Source organism: Homo sapiens, chromosome 22, assembly GCF_000001405.40.
Source record: "Homo sapiens chromosome 22, GRCh38.p14 Primary Assembly".
Taxonomy (NCBI): domain Eukaryota; kingdom Metazoa; phylum Chordata; class Mammalia; order Primates; family Hominidae; genus Homo; species Homo sapiens.
The window spans coordinates 39,919,449-39,941,910 of record NC_000022.11 but is presented as its reverse complement, the minus strand read 5'-3'; the positions used below and the strand labels follow the sequence as shown (position 1 = coordinate 39,941,910).

The following is a 22,462-nucleotide window of genomic DNA, read 5'->3' as shown; positions in this document are numbered from 1 at the left end:
TCTGAACTCCTCAAGCACTTAACAAAACAAACAGACAAAAAAAAAAAACACCTCTCCTGTTGATATAGAACATTTCACCTTGGAGTACAGATGTGGAATTGTCAGACCTTTTCTGTGCAGAGCCAGAGAGTAAATATTTTGGCTTTGTTGGCCATCTAGTCTCTGTCACAATGACTCGCCGTGTTTTTGTAGCCAGGAAGGTGGCCTTAGATGATGGTAAATGAATGGGCATAGCAGGGTTCCCATAAAACTTTATTTGTGGACCCTGAGATTTGAATTTCATAGCATTTTTACATGACAGGAAGTATTATTATTCTTTTGATATTTTTTTCAACCATGTAAAAATGTAAATTAGCTCAAGGTCAAAAACACATGATGGGCTGAATTTGGCCCACTGGCTGTAGTTTGTCAAACCCTGATATATACATTTATATCTATATCCTATCTCCCCCTAATAGTTTATAAACTTCTTAAGGGGAAAAGTTGTAGTTTAGTGGACAGAATATAGGCCTAGTAGTAGACGAACCTGGATTTGAATCCAAAATGTGCCACTTCCTGAGTGTCCTATTTCCACATCCGTGGGATGGGAGTCACCAGAGTTACTCCGTGGGGTTGTTCTGTATTAATGCGTAGACTCTGATACACAGTAGGTGTCCAACGAATGGCAGTTGTTATTTTTTCTTAGATTCTCTACAATGCCTAGCCCGGGCTTAGCAGGCAGCCAGGAAATGTTTGTTGGATGAATGAAGACATGCAAATGACCTGCCCTCAGCATTACTCTGGTTGATTTCCTCAGGGAAGGAGCAGGAGACAGAAGGAGCCATTTAAAAGGATCAATTAACTTCCCACTCAGAGGTGCCCTGACTTCTCAGCAAACTCAGCCAGAGATAGTGCAACATACCTACACTAAGAGGTCTGATTTATTTAAAATCCAATAGAGGGCAATGGTGCACCCCAAACCATCAATTCCATCTCGTAACTTTTCTTTGCATCTTGAGTCCCGGTAACCTTTAACTAGACAGGTTCGGTGATTGTCTTCATTGTCTCTCATGAGTTTTAAGGCGCATCAATTTTAACATTTCAAAGACTCAAACCTTTAAAATACAGAATTGCTTAGATGTCAAAGAATTCGTGGTCATCTTCTCCTACACACTGTCTGATGCTTAAATTCCTCCTGAGCAGCCTGGAGAGGTGGTTCCCATTCCTCCTGAGTGGACTTCCCTCACTCCTGCTTGGATTCTGGGTTAATGATCCTGTATTGAAACCCCTACTGTGTGTTATTCTTTGCTCTGCATCTTACATCTGTGTTTGGGGCCTTTCTGCCTTAGTTTATTACCTCTTATTGGGCATTGGACATAGGAACAGGAAACTGAGAAAGGTTACAGATGGCCCTTCTTGAAAATTTGTAAGCATAGAACGGACAACTACCTTATGGCTCGCCTGTAAGCCACTGCTTAAATATTCTTCTAGAGACCCAAATCAATCTATTCTGAAAATAAAGTGGGAAAGTGAAAAAAAAAAAAAAAACAAACAAAAAACAAAACAGGCTGGGCCTCACCAAGAGACCAAGGAGTAGCCTTTCCCCATTTTGGGCTCTCAGATGACAATATTTTTGCTCTATTCTAAACCAGCAGACACCCTGCTTAGAGAATACCTGTTAATCAGCTGGTCATGTTGGAAATGTTACCCTTCTTACTGAATGTCTACCAAGGCTTACATATTCCTTTACTGTGCCTGCTCTTGAATCACTTCTAACTCATCTTCCGGAGCCTTTAAAATAGACTCTCACATTCTTTTTTGGTGGGGTCTTGCTTCTGGTTTTCTCTGGAGATGCGGCTCTGTGGCTAGGTGCAGAGGGTGGCGTGGGAGTTGGAATCATGGCAGCTACAACCAACTCATGCAGGGCTTCCTGGGCCCCCCACCAGTGCTTCACCACATAAAGTGTGCAGGTAGCTATGAACTTGGGGGTGGCCATCAGGGTCCTCTGCTTTACTTATTTACTTTGAGATGGAGTTGCCCTGTCACCCAGGCTGGAGGGCAGTGGCACAATCTCAGCTCACTGCAACCTCCACCTCCCAGGCTCAAGCAATTCTCATGCCTCAGCTTCCCGAGTAGCTGAGATTACAGGTACAGCCCACCACGGTCCGCTAATTTTTATATTTTTAGTAGAGATGGGGTTTCGCCATGCTGGCCAGGCTGGTCTTGAACTCCTGACCTCAGATGATCACCTGCCTCAGCCTCCCAAAGGATCCTCTGCTTTAGAAGGTTTACAGCCAACAGTTCCTCTGCTTAATTGGACCTCCCAAGTCAGAGATGCAGGACCATTTCTTTTTTTTTTTTTTTTTTTTTGAGACGGAGTCTCACTCTGTCCCCCAGGCTGGAGTGCAGTGGCAAGATCTCCACTCACTGCAAGCTCCAGCTCCCGGGTTCATGCTATTCTCCTGCCTCAGCCTCCTGAGTAGCTGGGACTACAGGCGCCTGCCACCACGCCCGGCTAATTTTTTGTATTTTTAGTAGAGATGGGGTTTCACCGTGTTGGCCAGGATGGTCTCGATCTCCTGACCTTGTGATCTGCCTGCCTCGGCCTCCCAAAGTGCTGGGATTACAGGCGCGAGCCACCGCGCCAGGCCAGGACCATTTCTTCTCAGGTTCGAGATCCCAGGAGAACAAACAGCCTTCTCAAGAGGACCTGTCCTGTTTGCACAGGTGATCCCTCCAAGAGATATAAACATTTCTGGCTTTACTGCATCCAAAGATAGCAAAGACACATAAAATATACCCCCAGCAAAACCCTTTCTGGCTAGTTGGCTGGGATTTGAGTGTCCTCTAAAAGCCTCCATTTTAGGTGGTTTTGCACATACAGGGCATTTTTGTTTTTCTCTTGTCCCCAGTGACTCATTATTTTCTCCTCCTAGCCCCAGGAAGCATAAATCCCCCAGTATGAGCGGCAGGGGTGAACACATGGAACGAGGGGGGCCTCTGCAGCTTGTCCGAGAATTATAATTCATCAGCGGCTGAGCTGCTGATGCAAGTCTTGGAGACCATGAGGATGGCGTTTGAACAGTAGCCCCAGGGCGCTCCCCACTCCCATCCATTCCTGTCCTGTGTGCAGGTGTGTTCCCCGAATAACGATTCATCCTCTGGCTGCTTCGCTTTTTCTGAAAGCCGCCAACAGAGCTGTCTCCGATGACAGGTGACTAACGGGCAGCTGATTCTTGAGTGAGATACCGAGGCGTGGGCAGGAGAGGTGTGCTGTTCTCTCTTCCCCATCTGGGAAGGGCCTCAGGCTCAGCCCACAGTCACCTTCTGTGAGGGTGGCTTTACCTGCCCTTGCATTCTAATGCTTCTCTCTGCCAGGGCCCCTCCTGCAGACCCTTGGCTGGCTTCTTGGGGTTTCCACCCAACATGGGATCCCCAGCCCTGCCAGAACCCCATGGCCTTGCCTTGTGATTTCTTCCTAGTTTCCAAATGGGAACAATCTCCCCCGTCAGAAGGTTTTCAGGTTTGGGAGCCAAATAAATACGGTATTTTTCAGACGTATGGACACACTTTACACAACTGGAGAGTCCTTTTAAATCCCTTATATCCTTATTTAATCAAATTGCTGTTCTGCAGGTCCCTGTCTGTCACTGTGGATTATGGAGACTTCATTGGTCTCAAGGATGTTTTTCTCTTTTTTAATTAGCTCCCTTTTTTCCTGCTTAAGGTTTTTTGGGTTTTGGAGGGAGGGGTAGTGAAGGGAGGGAAGTAGAGAAGGAAGAAGACAAGTCAGGAGACTGTCCCCATGCAGGGCCTATCCCCTCCCCTGCCTGTAACTTGGGTGATGCCCAAGGTAGAGCCAGCCACTTCCTTCTTCTTATGCGTATTTATTACCTTGCTCTTCTTTAATCAACGCCAGTCTGGCTTATATAATCTAACTTTTTTTTTTTAGTGCAAGACGCATCACATGAAGTCTCATTTGTCCTCAAACTTTTTGTAAGAAAAGTATCTTTCTCTTTAAGTATAATGTATATGTTCTGTTAAACTCAAGCACATTTGATTCTTTTTTCCCTAATTTGCCACTCTCTGCAAGGCGAGGCTTGCCTACCTCAGTGGGAGGTTTACTACGGGACTTAGGTGTCAGACCTGGCTTCAAACTCTAGGCTCTGCTGCTTACTTTGTAGCCGGAGAACCATAGTTTATCTTCTCTGTGCCTCAGTTTCTTCACCAGAAATGCAGATAATAATCCTTAGTCCCCAGTGTTGCAGGGAAGAGGACGTAGAATACTTGGTTCCAATGCTCAATGTCTCTTTCTTCAAAGCATTTTTGCATTCTGGTTATCTACAATCCTTTCTTGTAGAGACAAATCCAAAACTGTTTCTACAAAGTGTAAGGCCACCAAGCGTATACTACTTTTCAGCCTCTCAAGCACCTATTTTTCCTCACTTTCCCTGGGCAGGCGCTAGCTTCTCCCTATTGCCTGTGGAGTCCTAGCTGCAGTGTTATCAGAAAGTATGACACTAATCAAGACAATTCAGTGAGGAAAGAGAGAAGACAGCACTAACCAAGGGGAAGTGGGGAGAAATGGTGGATGGAGAAACAGAAAACTGACCAGGCTTCTACACTTTGCCATCTATGCAGAGCTCAGTCACTGTGATGCTACCTTTGAGGGGACACACACCACCCAGACTGTGCCAATGCCTAGAAACGTGAACCAGCTAAGAATAAGTTACCATGGATTGATATGGTCTATCAGGTGACAAGAACTTTATAATCGGTCACCCGTTGCAACATTTATTATTGTTACTATCATCCTTTGCATTTTAGAGGTGGGAAATGGAGGCAAGAGATTTCAGTACATGTCTGTTGGCACCTAAGGCTGTGTGTTCTCTTCACTTTGCTGCTCTGCCTCTCCTGCTACGAGCAACATAACCAAATCCCTCCTACTTGGTCAGGATGACTGCTCACTAGCTTAGGCCCTCTCAACCTTCCTGGGTGGCTGTCCTTTAGCCAAAACATTCAAGAGCAATTTTCACATACCCAGGAAATTCAAGCCCATTACTTCTTGGTCAAAGAGGTAAAGACTGCAATCGACCTGGCAGACCTCAGACCAAGCAATCATGCGCTTTAAGGCAATTGCAGAAATGGAAACAATCTCAGCTAATAGACTTACAAACTGTCGCTCTTTTCCTTTTCTTCTGCCGGTCCCCCCCACCACCCTGTCTCTCTCTCTTCCTCTTTCTCTCTCTCTCCTTCTGTCTGTGTCTCATTTGTCACAGTTCTCTTACCTTTCCCTTCATCAACTTTCCCCACAATATATTCTGCTTTTTCCAAGTTCTTTTCTTTCTCCTTGAAACATTAATAACTTACCATGAATCCAGTTAGAGAAAGTGTATCTCGCATACTTCCACTTTTAATTCTCTGACACTTTTCTTATTAAAATGACACCATGAAAACATCAATCCAAAACAACAAAAATAAGGCAAAAAGAGACCACCAACCTCGCTGGAAATGCTACTTCGAGCCTCACTCTGCTGCTAGACTGATGTATCACTTGATGTTTCCTCATTTTATTCTTATTGTTTCCTAAAGCAATAACAATTGTCTACAGAAACACCTCGGATCCTGCTGGCAAAACCCAAACATAAGTGAAGCATTAAAAATACCGCCCCCCACCCCTGAATCAGAAATCATCTAATGAACCCCATCAGAAGGGTGGAGGGCGGGGTGGGGGTGGCAGGGGTAGATGGGAATGACAGTCGAGAGAGACAGACAGACAGACAGACATTTTACAAATCTCCAGGCTTCATTTTCTTTTACTTCTCATTTTCTATTCACATCATGATTTCCCCTGGAATATATCACCAGGATTTTATGGTGGCCTCATGTTCTCTTTTTTTCCCTCTTCCCTTCTGTTCACTTAATGTTTGTTTTTACTGATTTGGGCTCTGAAAGCATGGCTTATTTATCATGGATTTGAAAGCCTCCATCTTCTTGCTCTGTTTTCGCCAGGGCTGTGACATGGTTCACAAATGCTGCAAATACGCTCAGCGCCCCTCTCCTTTTCCTCACTGCCTGTGCCCTGGGCTACCTTAATTCTCATCTGGGCAAAACACAAAAGTGTCAGCAGAGGACGGCATGACCACAATTACTTTAATCTTGCTGTCACTTTTACTTACGCTCCCAAGCCCTCATTTGTTGTTGGAATGCTGGTCATTTTTTCAGCTCACTGATCTCAAAGCTTGCAAAAGTGATCATCTATCCATAGAGAAGCTCCCCTTGCTTCATTCGATAAGTCTATCCCAGAAAAGTGGGAGGGCCTGACATTTTTACAAGTAAAGGTACTAAAAAAATGCCAGTAAAAGGGATAATATGGCAAATTCCTTTCATCAAATGAATTATAATATTCTTATTTTTGGGAAATTTTGTTCTTTCTAATTTGAGTTTGGTTCAACACCTCTTGTATTTGTCTTGTTTAAAATAGTTCTCTTTCTTTTTACTTGCCAGTTTTGATTAAATAGTGCCCCTATCCTAGATTCTCAAAGTTGGAAGTGGCCCAGAAAGTCAGTCTTTTTCCCTAATTCATTGAGATGATAGACAATGGGCATCGGGGACGGCTGGGATTGGAGTGAGCTGACAGCTTGGTGAATTGTTTACGTTGAATCAAAAGCTCTTTCATCTGAATTCTGTGCTAAGAACCACAACAAGAAAGAAAAAGAAAGAATGAAAGAAAGAATGAACGAACAAAAGAAACAGAAAATGAGAATCACAAATCCCAAATTCCCATTTCTAAGCTGAAATAACCCCAGAGTCCTTGACCACCCTTCATGTGACAAGGTTCCAACTCTTGATCTCCTGGTCATTTTCCTCAGGTCTCCTGTCAGTTATTCAATATTTTTCTCAAAATACAAAATACATTATCTAGACTTGAACCCAGTATTCAAGATATGGTCTGAGCTGGGCTGAGTAGAATAGGATGATTTAATCACTTCATTTGTACATGAAGATTTTGTAATTGTGTTACACTGTTGGCTGGTTTTTTGTTTTCTTTTGTTTTTTTTTAGATAGGGTCTTGTTCTGTTGCCCAGGCTGGAGTGCAGTGGCGTGATCATGGGTCACTGTAGCCTTGACCTCCGGGGCTTTAGGCATCCTCCTGCCTCAGCTTCCCGAGTAGCTGGGGCTACAATCGTGTGCCCCCACACCCCGCTGCTGTTTGGGAATTAAGCAACAATAACTACAACAAAAGCCCGGGTGCTTCCCAACATGAAGATGGTCAAGCTGGACCTCTCCACCTCTGCAACGGGTTTCTTGAAACCAAAATGCAGGGCTTCACATTTAACCTTTCTGACTTTCACTGTGTTTTTGTTCTCCCCCTTTGGCCAATTTCTCAGCCTATCACAATTCATTCGGGCATGGATTTGTACTCCTAACCCTCTGGTTATATCTTTCAACTCTTCTTTCATAAGTGAACTTCATGCCTTTTTGGTTTTTGTTTTATAATAAATGGAAAATGGACTTTTGAATCAGGTAGGGCTGGGTTCAAATCCTGGCTCCTTCATTCATGCAAGTTGGTTATCTTTGAACTCAGTTTCTTTACCTAAAGACCTCCTCCAGGTTGTCATTGACCACCCTTTAATCAACACTCTGAGTATCAACTTGAAACCTACCCAGTTAAGTAGTTATCCTTCAGCCTATCTGTCCTCATTCTGCTCTGTAGGGTGTCATGCAAAGCCTGGCTGAAATCAAGCTGTGCCGTGCCTGTGGCCCTTTTCTTATATGTCACTCTAATAACCCCACAGGAAAAAGAAAGAAACCGTAACAGGGTCAACTCTTCCTTCAGGGCCATATTTGGGGAGATGCCAAGTGGAAGAAACTCATCTTTTCACTTACTGTCCCTCTTCGGCAATTGCTTTTCCGCTTTCCTCGACCTCTTTTGCAAGCCATAGACTTTCCTTTTGTGAGGCAGCTGTCACCTTAGCTACTGTGTTCCTGTTCCTCCTCCACCCTATTCTCCTTGCTTGACAGAGCAAAGGCCCCTGTGTGTTGAAGCTTTTGACACACAACTTTCTTTCTTTTCTTTTTTTTTTTTTCGAGACAGGGTCTCGCTCTGTTGCTCAGGTTGGAGTGCAGTGGCGCAATCTTGGCTCACTGAAACATTCGCCTCCCAGGCTCAAGAGATTCTCCTGCCTCAGCCTCCTGAGGAGCTGGGATTACAGGTGCCCGCCACCACGCCTGGCTAATTTTTGTATTTTTACTAGAGATGGAGTTTCACCATGTTGGCCAGGCTCATCTTGAATTCCTGACCTCTAATGATCCACCTGCCTTGGCCTCCGAAAGTGCTGGAATTACAGACGTGAGCCACCATACCCGGCCTTGACACACAACTTTCTGAGGGTCATTTTTTCCATTTAGAATTTGTTAATGTCATGTTTGTCACATGACCTCCCAGATCCACTCAAGTCTCTCTTGTCATTTCAGGCCTTCAACAATCTTTCCCCATCCTGTCTGTCAAAATTAACTTTAGAAAATCACCTGCACCATGCAAACATGCTTTAGTAAATAGCTTCCCTTTGTTCTCTAAGCACTCCATCGACATCCTTGTCTCTGCACTGGTCTTCCTTCTCCCATCAAACTCACATTGCTATGTATGGTTGTGCAGGTTGCTCACTGCATAAAGGCCTCAGGCTGAGGTTGCAGTAAGGGCTGAAATGCATCCAGTGCGCTTCTCATCAAGCTGTGAGTCCCAGTATGGGGCTGCATCTGTTTAGAACTAGCACATTCTTCTTACTTAAACAAAGGCACCGGGTCTAATTTCAACTGCTCCTTTAAAGCTTTACTCAGGGCCTGCCCCCCTCATACCCCATGGTCTCACTTTCTCTTATTCTTCCAGGGGACTTGAAGTTATCTACCCCTTGCTCAGTGCTGCCGCCATCTGGGTAAGGTAGGCAAGCACATGAGCCTTGGAGTCAGGCTGCCAGCATTCAAACCCTTCTCTACTACTAGTTTTCTGAGTGACCCTTAGCAAGTTATTTAACATCTCTGAGCCTCAGTTTCCTCATTTTAAAAACAGGGATGATAATAGTGCCTGCCTCATAATGTTCTTGGGAAGAATATGTGGAATATCCATCTAATCCACTTAGTATGGTGTCTGGCACATAGTAGGCACTCAATAATTCAATAGTTGTTAGCTATTGCTACTTTTTTTTTTTTTTTTTGAGACAGGTATCATTCTGTGGCCCAGGCTGGAGTGCAGTGAGGCAATCAGGGCTCACTGCAGCCTCCAACTCCCAGGTTCAAGTGATTCTCCTGTCTCAGCCTCCCAAATAGCTGGGACTACAGGTGCATGCCACCACATCCAGCTTTTTTTTTTTTTTTTTTTTTTTGTAGAGACAGGGGTCTCCCTATGTTGCTCAGGCTGATCTTGAACTCCTGGCCTCAAGTGATCCTCCTGCCTCAGCCTCCCAAAGTGCTGGGATTAAAGGCATGAGCCACTGTGCCCAGCCAGCTATTGTCACTTTTATGCATAGTCCTTAATAGCTAACAACTATTAAGACATGTTGTGGCTCGCAGGAAGTATGAATAAGAAAATGTACACCTCACCAAGTAGGGTTGTCAGATAAAATACAGAATGCCCAGCTAAAGTTAATTTTCAGATAAGCAACCAATAGTTGTTTTAGTATATGTATATCCCAAATCTTTACTTTCTCCACAGAAATCTCAAAGTGGTGGACTGAAGCATTGTTAAGAAGAATAGCAAGGACTCGTTTGATCTTTTCACCCTTTCATCTCGAATTTCCCTGCTGCCCCTCACCTCATGCAACGCCTGTCCCACAAGATTTCTTACATGAAAACCGGGGAGTGGGCTAGCCTTTGGGATAAGCAGTATGAAGGTTCTAGAATGAAGCCTTTAGATGTTCTAGTGAAGGTTGTGGTTTGGAATAGAAGTATATAATCTCACTCATATATCCTGTGAGCCACAAAATGTTGTACCTTCTGTTTTCTCTACCTTTCTTGTGTTATTTGCTGCTTTTAATATTGTGTGGGTCAAAAGGCATGCTTTTACCATTATATATTATGGAATACTGTGTGTTTTGATAAATAAGTTTTATATATTGGAATTTCTGTTCTTATAAGGGAATTTTTCTTGAAGTCCGTATTTGTGGTAAAGCAGAAATCTTCTAAACTCTCTTACATATTCAGACATTTCTCTTGTGATTACTCTGGCATTTTACATTGTTACTCTCAAATTCGCCATCTACTTTCTCATGCCTATAACTCGTCAAATTTTTCCATGCTTGGCATCTGCACCACAGCAAAAAATTTCCTGGGCACCAGCCCCAGTAAATTATTACTAGTCCCATCGTGTAGTCATCAGGTTGACATTTACTTGTACCACCCATGTATCTAGTCCTGATGACAAATAATCCTTGAATTGGCTTATAATACCCCATCCTTTCTTTATATGATTTGCACCATCCTAGAACCTTGTCTCTTCCTGGAACCATTTCAGAGGAAGTTACAAAACCACCAACAGTACCAAATGTGGTTCTGTTGTTTGAATGATCTTCTCTCTTTAATAGCCTTTCATTTCAAGTCCTCCATTACTGACTCCTTGCACAGATTCTTCTCTCTCCTTCCTCTCTCTGTACTTCCAGGAATTGGTGATTTCTATCCAGGTTCGTTTTCAGATTTTCTGCTGCTTAACTTCACAAGGCTGTCTTGCCCACCTTCTCTCTCTCAGGAGTATCCATATGCTTTGTGTATTCGTTCAACAAACATTTCCTGTGCCCCACTCTGTGTCAAGCCCTGTGTAGAGCATGAAGATCCAGTGTGGACTAGACAGCCCATCTTAAGACCTCAGACAGTTCAGTCTTGTAGGAAAAACAAGTCAGCCAAACCAGTGAGATCAGCATGATAAAGGAACCACACCTCAAGTGGTTCAGGAACCCAAAGGGCAGGCTCCTAATCTAGCCTAGGACGGAGACAGGTGCAGGAGGGATTAGTGGAAGCTTCCCAAATGAGGTGACAATTGAACTGAGTCTTGCAGACAAGTAGCTAGGCAGAGTAGAGAGCTCATATATGACACACAGAGAGAATGGTGTGTGCAAATAGGAGTTGGGGACCCAACTGGTTCAATCATGGACTGGCAGGAGATGGGATCAGTGATTGGACTGGGGGCAGATCATGGAGGACATTGAAAGCATGCCAGGGACTTAGGACTTCATACCAAGGATGATGGGAAGTCATTGGACATTTGAAAACATTTGCATTCAGGAATGTTTAATCAGATGGCAGTATGAAGGAATGGAGGGCAGGGTGAACCGAAGATGGAGAAAGCATCGCAGTAGTCTTGGCTAGTAATGATGAGGGCCTGAACTACAACAGTGACAGATCATGCTCTTTCTTTTGACACTGGGTCTTTCCACATGTTTTTATCTCCATAGTAAGTACTTTACACATTATCTCATTTAAAGCATGCAAGAATCTCAAAATAAGAACTGCTATTGTATCCAGCTGACAGATGAGGAAAGTGAAGCTCAAAGGGGTTAAATAATCACCCAAGTTCATATGTATCAAAAAATGGTGGAGCCAGGATTCAAACTCAGCCTGTGCACTTAAACAGTATTCTCCCTTGTCTTAACTCAAGGGAATCACTGTGAATTATGACCAGTTGGAAGGGGGCTAAAAGACAGAAAAGAGTCTAGAATGGTGTTATCCAATAGAAATAGAATGCAAGTCACAAATGCCAGCCATTATGCCATTTTAAATATTTTGGTGGCACTTTAAAAAGTAAAAGAAAATTATTTTTAATAACTTATTTAACCCAATATGTCCAAAATATTATCATTTCAATTTGAAATCAATATAAAATATTATTGAGATACTTTGCATTATTTTTTCCAAACTAAGTCTTTGAAATCTGGTGTGTATTTTACACTTACAGCACATTTCAATTTGGACAAGCCACATTGAAGTACTTGGGACAGCATAGGTCTAGAACGACTCTTGAGTTCCTGCTGGGGGCATTAGGGTAGATGTTGGTAGCATTTTCTGAGATAAGGGAATACAGAAAGAGGAGATAATTAAAGGGGTGTTTGAAATGCTTGTGAATGATCTATGTAGAGACTCCCAGTCAAGGATTGGCTATGCAGGTATAGAACTCAATAAAAAAGTCTGGGTAGAGCTATTAATTTGGGTGCTATTCCAATATAGATGATTGTGAAAACCCTGAGTAAGAAGGAATTCACCTAGAGAGATTATGTAGCAGGACTGAACCTTTGGAGACAGCAGGGAGGGATGGGACACCTTGGTCATGCGGAGGAGTTCATTTGTTCAGCAGGAGACGCATCTCCCCTTTGAATGGGAAAGAAGGAGGACAAAGATGCAGAAGGTAAGTTTGTATAGGTAAGGAGGGTGAGGAGAGGCAGGAAGTAGGTGGCTTTCTAATATAATGTTGGCAGGGATTCTCAGCTCATTCTATTATCTTTCTTCTCTTCCACAGAAAAGGGAATGCTAGCTTTTAACCATGACTATTCACAAAATCTATACAAAGAGGCAAACAAAATGTAAATATTTGTCCAGCCAGGGACATAAGCCAAGATGAACACTCCTTTTTCATGTCACTCCACTCATTCCCTCCTCTCTCTCTCTCTTTCTCTCTTTCCCTCTGTCTCTCAGGAAATTGCAAAAATAGTACAGAGGTCCCCTGTACTCTTCACCCCACTTCCCCTAATGGGGACATCTTACATCACCATAGTACAGTATCAAAGCTAGGAAACTGATATTGCTACAATACCATTAAAAAGACTTCCATCTTCTCTTTTACAACTTCCTAGCAGGAAGTATCCTTAGTAAAAAACATAAAAATCTGTGAGATGTAATGTTCAACCAGGCCAAGAGCTTTATGTGTGTTCAGGAGGTTTTATCTCTGTAACTAAATGACATGCATCAAATACCACACCAAATGCCACCTAAATGCTCAGGTAAAAATTACCTTCTTATGACCATATATAATTTGCACCAACGTTATGTGGTTAGACCAGGCTCTTCACTGTCTGTTTGGCTTTATCTCATTATGGAGAAGAGCAAAGATGAACAGACAGCTCTGTTGTTCCCATCAGCATCTATAATGAGGAATGTGTGACTCAAAAGAGAGCAGCAACGTGCCCAAGCCTGCACTACTGTACAAACCAGGTCTTGCTAACTTTAGAACTCATGTTCGGTTTATGACATCGCACTATCTCTTGGTAAATGGCTACTTCATACCCCTGTCTACACAGCAGGAAAACCAATGGATTAGGAGGGAGTTAGTATTCAGATGGGTGACTCCAATTCAACTTTCAAGTGGGGAGGAACCCATAGCACCCAACACAGTAGGCTCCTCCATAAATGCCAGGGATTTAATCAATTCAGCTTACTAAACAAACAGACTCAAATAAGTTGGGCACGTTCCTTAAAAGCAGAATCAAGCAAAGAAAGCTCTGAGAAATCTCTGTGCTTCAAGGAGACAAAAGCCAACGAGAGAATATTAAGCCAACTTGAAGGGAATAGTGGCTATCCATCTGCCTCTGCCATGGTTCAACCAAGGTGAATAACCCATTTATTAGCAAAGAATGAGAGAAGTCCCAGTATTTTCATGTAAGTGGTAATTTGTTAATGGGTAAACATGGAATGAATTTCTTTCTCCCTTGGAGATAAATGAGCTCTGGTTCTCAAAAAACAATATTTCTGGCAAGAGATAGAAGACAAAAAAAAAGAGGTGTTTCATCCATTAAGATTTGGAAAGCAAAGGAAATAAGTGTATTTCTGGAATCTGGGTGAAAGGAGTTTGGCCTCGACAATTTCTGAGCAGCCGAAGGAGGAAAATGGTCGCAGAAAGAGGCAGGAACATGGGTGGTCAGATGCCTTTAGGGACAGTGATCTCTCTAATGACATTTCTCCCATCTGGGCTCCCTATTTATTTGTGGACCTGCACCTTCCTACTTACATCTCCACTTGTGGTATCCATAGTACCAGTAAGAAAATAGTTTTTGTCAAATCCAGGAAGGCAGGCCTGAGAGCAATTTGCAGCTGTGAAGACAAACTATAGGATGAAGGAGACAGAAGGACAGGGTCCCCTTACCCTGTTGTAGCCATTGGGAAGGGGCCTCAGCCCTCAAGTGGTGAGACAGGGCAGCACACGGGGGATGGTGGAAAAGAGCCGAAATGAACTTGGCCCCGGAAATGGCCATTATCAAGTAGTCATGGGTGAGAGGAAAAAAAAAAGTCATGCCTTAGATCGATTGGGCCTGGATGGACCAAGGTTGAAATCCAGCCATGAGATCAGTTTTGTTTACCTCTCCCGATGCGATTAGGCCATTCATATCCGATCCTGACCATTTGTTTGAGGAAGAAAAGATGCAGCCTGCATTTTGAAATCTGGGCAGATGCTTAAAAAGACCTTGCTCTCCATTCAGACAACAGGAATGCCACCAGATGTGACTTAAACATGTCTGCTTTTCAGCTGTTTAAATGTGAGCAATTCCTCCCGTCACTAGCCCACTGCAAGGGACTGTTTTTTCAGGGTCTTTCAATCCCAGGGCTGATTCACATCACAGGTATTCCCAAAAAGCTCCACAAATCAACAATGAAATAAACCCAATGCCAGACCAACTTGCACATGCCGGCGGGCCGAGAGGATGGGAGGTCCAGTCAGGGCACTGTGCCTCACCATCACTTTCCACTACAGAGAAGGTAAGTGGGGATAGCATGGCCGGGGGGGCAGAATTAAAACGTGATCAACGTGGCATCTGCTTTTTCTTCTCTTTTCAGCTCTCACAGAAGTGAGCATGAAAAAAAGAGAAGAAGAGGGGAGGAAAAATGAGAAGAGACAAGTTTCTCTCTGGGAGAAGCAATTCTAGTCCTGAATTCTCAACTGTGCATTCCACCTCAGAAAGCCAGTGACCGCCTCTGCTGAGCACAGGGTGACAAACTGGGCTGGATCCAGGCTGGAGCCAGGCAGTGGGTGGCAGCTTCTGCCTCAATCTTTCTGCAGTCTCCCTTCCCCATTCCAATCACGATAAATATATTTATACTTACTTGATTATGTCAGCCAGACAATACTCCCCTAATTGGCAGTGATCAGGGTTCCAGAATTGTTTGGGCGAACCTGCTGTCTCTCTATCAGGCAAAGCGATAAGGGGCCGCTAATGCAGTCCCCATTAACAATTTCCAGTGGAAAAAAAACCAATCCCCCGACTCATGCATGGCAACGAATTTTCCAAACAGCTCCTGAGAGCCAGCGATTGAGGAACTCAGACTTAACACGAACCGGTCCAGCATAGAATGCTTTTATGACTTTTCCCCACCCCCAGCTAGAGCATGTAGAAAAAACCATAGCCACTTCCTTATGCTCAAGGTTCTTTTGTTCTTTTGCTTTTTTGCTCTTTTCCTTTTTTTTTTTTTTTTCTTTTGTTGGGCTTACGGAGCTAACTGTCATTTTTGGTTCTTGGTTCTTTGTAAATTTCAGGGACATCTGGCACACAGTTTATTTCATTTGCTAGCTCTGGTATTTGTAGATACGCACACTCTCTGCTGCGTGTGCATGTTAACACTTCACATGTATAATTTATGCATGCATAATTTGGAGCTTGAGAGGATAGGCTCATTTTGATGTTTAAGTGTAACTACACAGCGCCAATTCAATTATAAGTAATTACTCAATAAATATTTACCAAATGAATGAATATACCAAAAAGACAAATATGCAACTGTCATTCATTTATCAGACATTTCAATACCTAGTGTGTACCAGGCACCGTGCTAGATGCTGAGTATTCAATGATGCATACCCACAGTTCCTTTCCTCAGGGAGCTCACAGTTGAAGGACAGGAGGCAGACATATAAATAGACAATTGCAAGACATCATGGAGGCAAAGTGACTGAGCCCTATGCAGGGTAGCATGGAGCTCCAAGGAGGAAGCTTGGTCCACCTAAGGGAGGGGCTGAGGCCATGGAGAGTCTCCTGGAGGTGATGAGGCCTAAGAGGGGAGGTAAAGGCTTCAGATAATGAGGACAGCACAACCAATGGCAGGATGCAAGAACTGATAGGGTGTTGTGGAAAAGAAGCAAGGCAGAGATGAAGTCGGGGACTCAGGGAGGTACCGGATCTGGGGGGCTTGGTGTAGAGTAAGGGAGAGGAGCTTCAACTATCTCAATTAGGGCAAGAAAACACAAACAGCTCCTTCATTCGTCCAAAATGCTTCTGGATTGCACCACAATTGGCACACGCACACCTCAAAGCAGAATTTGGACTGGCCTCAGAAGCACTGCTGGAGCACAGGAAGATCTGAGGCCACATGCTGAATCCGTCATTAGGGAGATGAGCAAGAGTTAGCTTATTTCTTGGTAAGTTGAGGAGGTGGACTTGGAGGGCTCCAAGCTTTTACATCTATGCTGCCTGGATTCTTTGAGGTTTGTGTACAGGCTGCACTTGGGCCCACTCCAAGTCCAAACTGGGGTGCTAAAGGAATGAGGCTGGTTCCAAGCAGCACACAGGATCACAATATCACTGTCTTACAGTGCAGAGACAGTAGGCACATTGAGGCAGAATTTCATATGAATCTGTAAGAAGTATTCACAGGAATGTAATGTATGATGGAGACATCCCATTGTCCCCAGCCTGGGTCAGGGTCTCATGATCTCAAGTCTGAAACATGTCCAATTAATTTGGAGCACTGATCCCTGCTAGATTTAGTTTCTCAAAAGCACTGTTCAGCTCACATCATTTCTACTCAAAATCTCTTAATAATTCCACCTTGCTTGTAGAGTCAAGTCCAAAGTCCTTAGAGTGGCATGGCATTCAAAGTCATCCTCAGTCTATCCCCACCCTGCCTGCCGTAACCCCCACCTGAGCTTTGATTCACAAATGTTCCCACCACTCTGCCTTTACTCACTCTAGCTCCTGACTCTTCAGGTCCAGCTCAAATTCAAGTCCATCTCCTTTAGGATTACTGTCTTGTTACTCCTGTCCTCTTCTGAACCAGTGCAGAGCTTACTATGTTGTTCATTGGTGACTATTAACTTCACTTTGTGGTTTGAGTTTTACTTCTCCAGCTACCTTGTAAGCCCCAGAGGATGGGAACCCAGCCTCACTCCTCTTTGCAGTCTATGGACTTAGCACATTGTCCTGCTCACATTAAATATTTGCTGATGAATGGGTATCCTACATTGTCACTTCTTTTTTTTTTTGAGACGGAGTCTCGTTTTGTCACCCAGGCTAGAGTGTAGTGGTATAATCTTGGCTCACTGCAACCTCCGCCGCCCGGGTTGAAGTGATTATCCTGCCTCAGCCTCCCGAGTAGCTAGGATTGCAGGCGCCCACCACCACGTCCGGCTAATCTTTTGTATTTTTAGTAGAGATAGGGTTTCACTATGTTGGCCAGGGTGGTCTTGAACTCCTGACCTCAGTTGATCCACCCACTTCGGCCTCCCGAAGTGTTGGGATTACAGGCATGAGCCACCGCGCCCGACCATGCATTGTCACTTCCGTGAGCCTACTGCGTAAAACTCATGGAAAGTACGACCGTGGTGATGATTGTCACAGTGCTACTGCCCGAAGTTCTTTTTCCCTCTTCTAGGAAAAAAAGCGAATCTTGGAGAGAGAGGCTTGGTATGATTACTTGGGAGTAATAAGAATGTGAAACATTTCTCCCGCGATTTATAAACAGTATTTTACATGCATTTCCTGGGAGCTTAAAGTTCATCCAGAATGAGTATTTCATAGATCAAAGGAGCATATGTGCAATCCACCAGGAGGAATAATCACTCTGCTAAATTTAAAGGGAGAATGATTGAACACTCCAGCCTGAAAGTAGAGATGGTTTAACGTCACATGGCTGGAGAAGAACATGAGTGACTTACTTAATTTCTGGCCCCCTACGTTCAGTTTTTATGGTACATACGCCAGTGAGCAGCACGTGGGATTTTTCATAAAAGAGGAACTGGCATTAAATCAATAAGGAAAATCACCATTTCCCTACTGATCCAATGGCATTTAAGGAAGCTGAGCCCTGCCAATATGTACAACTGTGCAGAATTTGTAACCGGGCAGTGAAAACCACCATCTAAGCTGGCAGCTGTGACTTTCCCAGAAGTAGAGCTGCAGGGAGAAAAGTAGCTTTTAAACTTCAGTTCCATTTTTGCAAATTGGATCTTTTTGTAAAAACTGTTTTAAGTCCAGATTTGTTTGTTGTTTTCCTTTTCTTTCCTCATTAGTAAAGGAAATGACTGTTTCTTTTTACTCAGATGGAAATTCAATCATTTACTCGATAATTGGGAGTCAAACTTAGTTTTAAGGGCTAGGAATGGAGATGAGGACAAAAGAGACAAAATCCCTGGCTTCAGAAAGCTTACCTTCTAGTGGGGAGGCAGGGGAGACAATTAATAATCTTGAACCGTAGATATATACTATGCTAGGCATAGATAACTGAAATAATGCTAGCATCTCATATTTGAAAACACAATTGCCAGAAAATGAAAAATGAAACCTCCTGCATGAATACTATCTTAGCTCATGTATGTCCCATATATTAAGAAGTATTTTAAAAAGAATAGCTAGTAAGAAATACACACATATTGCTCTTTGCACATGAAGTTGGCCTTCCCTACTGACCTTCAGCAGAACAGATGTCTCAGAGGTGCATTTCTGAGAGATGGATTTGTGCCAATCTATATATTTCATTCTGGCACTATCTGGCACCACTGCCCTCACAGTTATCCAGGCCAGAAATCTGGAAATTTCTTCTGGACTCCTCCGTGTCTTTTCCTCCCCTTTCTCAAATCTGGTATCTTCCACTAATGGGTCTCTAAACACTATATTTTAAATATACCTGAATTTTTTTTTTTTTTTTTAACTGAATCTCACTCTGTCGCCCAGGCTGGAGTACAGTGGAGCAATCTCGGCTCACTGCAACCTCCGCCTCCTAGGTTCAAGCAATTCTCCTGCCTCAGCCTCCCGAATAGCTGGGACTACAGGCGCATGCCGCCATGCCCAGCTAATTTTTTGTATTTTAGTAGAACGGGGTTTCACCATGTTGCCCAGGCTGGTTGTGAGCTCCTGAGCTCAGGCAATCCACCTGCCTCGGCGTCCCAAAGTGTGGGGATTACAGGCGCGAGCCACCGCACCTGGCCTAAATATACCTGAAATTGATTTCCATCTTTCCATCAGCCCTCCTTTGTGTGGGCTTTATCGTCTTTCCCCACAACCCTGGCATCCTACTTCTCCTTCCTGACTCTAGGCTCAAATACCTCCATTCTCCCCTCCTCATTGCTTCCAGAGTGATTTGTGCAAAACAGATCAGACTGTGCCATGTCTCTTCTTGCACTCTCCTCTGGCTCTGCACACCTGCAGGATAAAGCTCAGGCCTCCTAGCCTGGCCTTGGCTGACCTGGGTAGCTTTATGACTCTGCTCCCTTCCTTGACCCTGTGCCTCAGTCACAGCAGCCCCATGTAAGGCATGTAAGGTTACCTAAATTTACAATGTGCAAATCATCCCTGAGTGTTTCTTCTTGGACTATTCTCCTTTTTGTACTCCTCAATTCTTGCCATCCTTTAATATGGTGCAAATGTTACCTTCTCTGTAAAGCTGTTCCCTGAGCTTAATCCTCCCTCCCTTCTGCCCCAAGGGTACCCTGGCCTCATCTTCTCATTTCAAGTATGGCACCCAATGGAAAGGCATTTGTAATGATTTGTTTGCTTGTGTGTCTTCTCTCTCAAGCTGTAAGCTCTCCCAACTGAGAAGTATCTTCTTTGTGACTTTACAGCATAGCCCAGCCTCTGGCATACAGCAGTCACTTAGTAAATGTTGAATGAATAATGAATGAATGACCTATGGTCTCTTCTGGTTTGGCTTGTGCTAAACTATGCATCTGAGAATTAGGTGGTTTTGGCAATATGATGGAGTGAAACCAACTGACAATATGATGGAACTCAACTTTGCTCTTAAGAATAAGAAGTTTTGGGGAGGCTTAGGCTGGAGGATTGCTTGAGCCCAGGAGTTCGAGCCTGCAATGAACTATAATTGTGCCACTGCACTCTAGCCTGGGCAAAAGAGTGAGACCCTGTCTTGCAAAAATAACTAAATAAATAAATAATAAAAATAAAAACAATGGGTTTTAAACATTTGAGCTAATGGACCACAGATGATAAGGAATTTCAGTAACACATTTTCCTAGACAATATTTCTGTGTGTACTACATCTGGAGATGGTTCAAATAAATGATTAAAACATGTAAAACAGAACCATTAAGTAATCTAGATCATTTACTACAAAAGAGAAACTTGAAGAGACTTAATAATGGTTTTTAATAAAAGATTGTACTCCAAGGATGGCTAAACATCCTCCTTCTCCACAAACACAAAATAAGAAGAAATGAGATGAAAGCGCTTCAAAGATTAAAGTCAAAAACAAAAAGGAATTGAATGGTTTCCTGCCAGGCAGTGTAAACCCATTTCAAGTCACTATTACAGATAACTCACATTCGGAATCAGGCACAGCTCTAAATGCTTGCTATGTATTATGTCATCAATCAATCTAATTTTCATAATGAACCCATGCAAGTTTGTTTTAATTTTATTATTCCCATTGTACAGGTGAGGAAATAGAGGTTCAAGGTGGTTAAGCAGCTAACCCAGGTCACACAGCTGAGAAACCATAGAGCTGAAATTCAAATCCAGGCTGGCTGGCTTGTGAGGTTTTGGTCCGACTTCTAAGCTTCCTGCCTTGCTAGAGGCTGACATAGATGTCAGACCTCTGTCTGGGGATGGAGGCCTGAAGCTAAGCTCAAGAAAGCTCGAGAAGTTCAAGTGGCTAGCTTAAATTTAAACAAGAAAATCCTTGAATATACAAACGATTCTTCATTGCCAGGGCAACCAGCTCTCTTGAGGTCGTTACATCAGATTGTGTGTGTGTGTGTGTGTGTGTGTGTGTGTGTGTGTGTGTGTGTGTCTGTGTAGAGAAGTTAAATACCCATTTTTTGTATTCTTTATTCTGGTGAGCTGGCCTATCAGGTCTTGTCCTGCTAATGAGACAGTAAGTCGTTTTGACTTTTTTTTTGGCTGTCAGGGCATGCACGGTTTCAGCATCCACGTGTGTGTGTGTATTTATAAGACCTGACATGAATCGAGCCATATTTAGATATTATGACTTTACCTCCAGAGTGACGGAACTTACTCTGGGGGTTGGAGAGTCAGCATCTTCTTCCCTGTTATTTTTTCCAAGGCAAGCTTGTTTAGCCTGCCTCTGGGGCACATGAAGTGGGGTCACAGTCAGCACAGAATGGGGGCAGCATGTTCTGCAATTCAAATGCAACTCAAATGCCTGTGCCAAAGAAAGTCAACACTCATCTGATGGGCAGCAGAGAGGGGGCTCGAACACTGAGCTGCACCCCGGCTGCAGGAGGCCTGGAGGCTGGTTCCGGAGAACCAGGCAGCCCAGCAGGAGCCCCGTGAGAAGGGTGGGAATGAGTCACCAGACTTTTCAGGTTGATTGAGGTGATGTCTGTTGATTTTCTTTGAATTTAGATGTGTTATCAGTTCACACATTGGGCATAACGGGAAGAAGATGAGTGAACATTTTCTTGATAGTGCCTGACATTCAGCAGGGTTGTGATAAGATGTGGGGTAAGATATGACTCTGCAAGAATATGCTGGACAGTGTGTGTCCCCTAGCGTGTACCAAAGGAGCGGAGGCAGATGGACCCTCTTGGGAGAAAACAGTGTGACAAGCCCACTCTTTGTTCTCTGACAGACACAAGTTGGCCTGGGTGGATATTTACTATCTTAGGGCAAGGGGAAGAACTGCTAATTTGTCACACATTGTGTTCATGGTCTGGGAAAAGCACTTGCTTTTTTGACATTGGGTCCTCCACTACAACCAGATAGATTCTGAATGCTGTGGTTAAGAGTTAGGGTTTTAGGAGTTCGTATAATCTCTCTGGCCTCAGTTTCCTCATCTTTAAGATGGAAACAACAATGGCACTTATCCCCTTAGATAGGAATAAATAGACTAATACATATCAGGCACTTAAAACAATATATATCCAGCATTAAACTTGTATTTACATGAATGCATGCATCCTTATTTACACAACTTCATATTTATGGGAGGACTTACTCCAATGCTTGCTCAAGATAGATGCTTAGTAAATATTTGTCAAATATTGAAGGAGATAGAAGAATGGATTTAGTGGGGTACTTCTATGGCTATCTGTTCTGACTTCTCAGTAACCTGTAATTCAAGGATAGACAGGTAAAACTGGGTGTTAGATTTAATCTCTATTGAGCAATATTTCAAAAAAGGGGAGTTTTCTGCAATCATACATCTCTGAAGAATAGATGGAAATGGAGATGATGAGTTTGCATGAAGATTGTGAAGGAAATGGCATGAAGAATTGACTTGTCACATGTGAAGGACAGGCAGCAAGGACAATGACTCTAAATAA

At 43.5% G+C, this 22,462-nt stretch overlaps 1 protein-coding gene across 8 annotated transcripts in view, besides 3 other annotated features; it reads right to left on the bottom strand.

Annotated features, from left to right (window-relative positions):
* Positions 1 to 22,462, bottom strand: part of GRAP2 (GRB2 related adaptor protein 2) — a 79,902-nt gene that overhangs the window by 31,811 nt on the left and 25,629 nt on the right. For 4 of the 8 annotated variants that reach the window (XR_007067996.1, NM_001291824.2, NM_001291826.2 and 1 more), the window contains exon 1: positions 15,058 to 15,307. The exons of the other annotated variants lie outside the window; for them this stretch is intronic. The gene's annotated coding sequence lies outside the window, so the exon portion shown is untranslated. Of the gene's footprint in view, positions 1 to 15,057; positions 15,308 to 22,462 lie in introns of those variants that run through there. 8 annotated transcript variants of the gene reach the window in all.
* Positions 2,040 to 2,792: an enhancer, noted in NCBI's record as "H3K27ac-H3K4me1 hESC enhancer chr22:40335123-40335875 (GRCh37/hg19 assembly coordinates)". NCBI's record gives its function as "activates a minimal SCP1, AML or CMV promoter by ChIP-STARR-seq in naive H9 embryonic stem cells {active_cell/tissue: H9 hESC(naive)}" and the evidence as "EXISTENCE:reporter gene assay evidence [ECO:0000049][PMID:30033119]".
* Positions 8,335 to 8,999: an enhancer, noted in NCBI's record as "OCT4-NANOG-H3K27ac hESC enhancer chr22:40328916-40329580 (GRCh37/hg19 assembly coordinates)". NCBI's record gives its function as "activates a minimal SCP1, AML or CMV promoter by ChIP-STARR-seq in naive H9 embryonic stem cells {active_cell/tissue: H9 hESC(naive)}" and the evidence as "EXISTENCE:reporter gene assay evidence [ECO:0000049][PMID:30033119]".
* Positions 20,784 to 20,833: an enhancer, noted in NCBI's record as "active region_19075". NCBI's record gives its function as "activates an Ori minimal core promoter by ATAC-STARR-seq in GM12878 lymphoblastoid cells {active_cell/tissue: GM12878}" and the evidence as "EXISTENCE:reporter gene assay evidence [ECO:0000049][PMID:35858748]".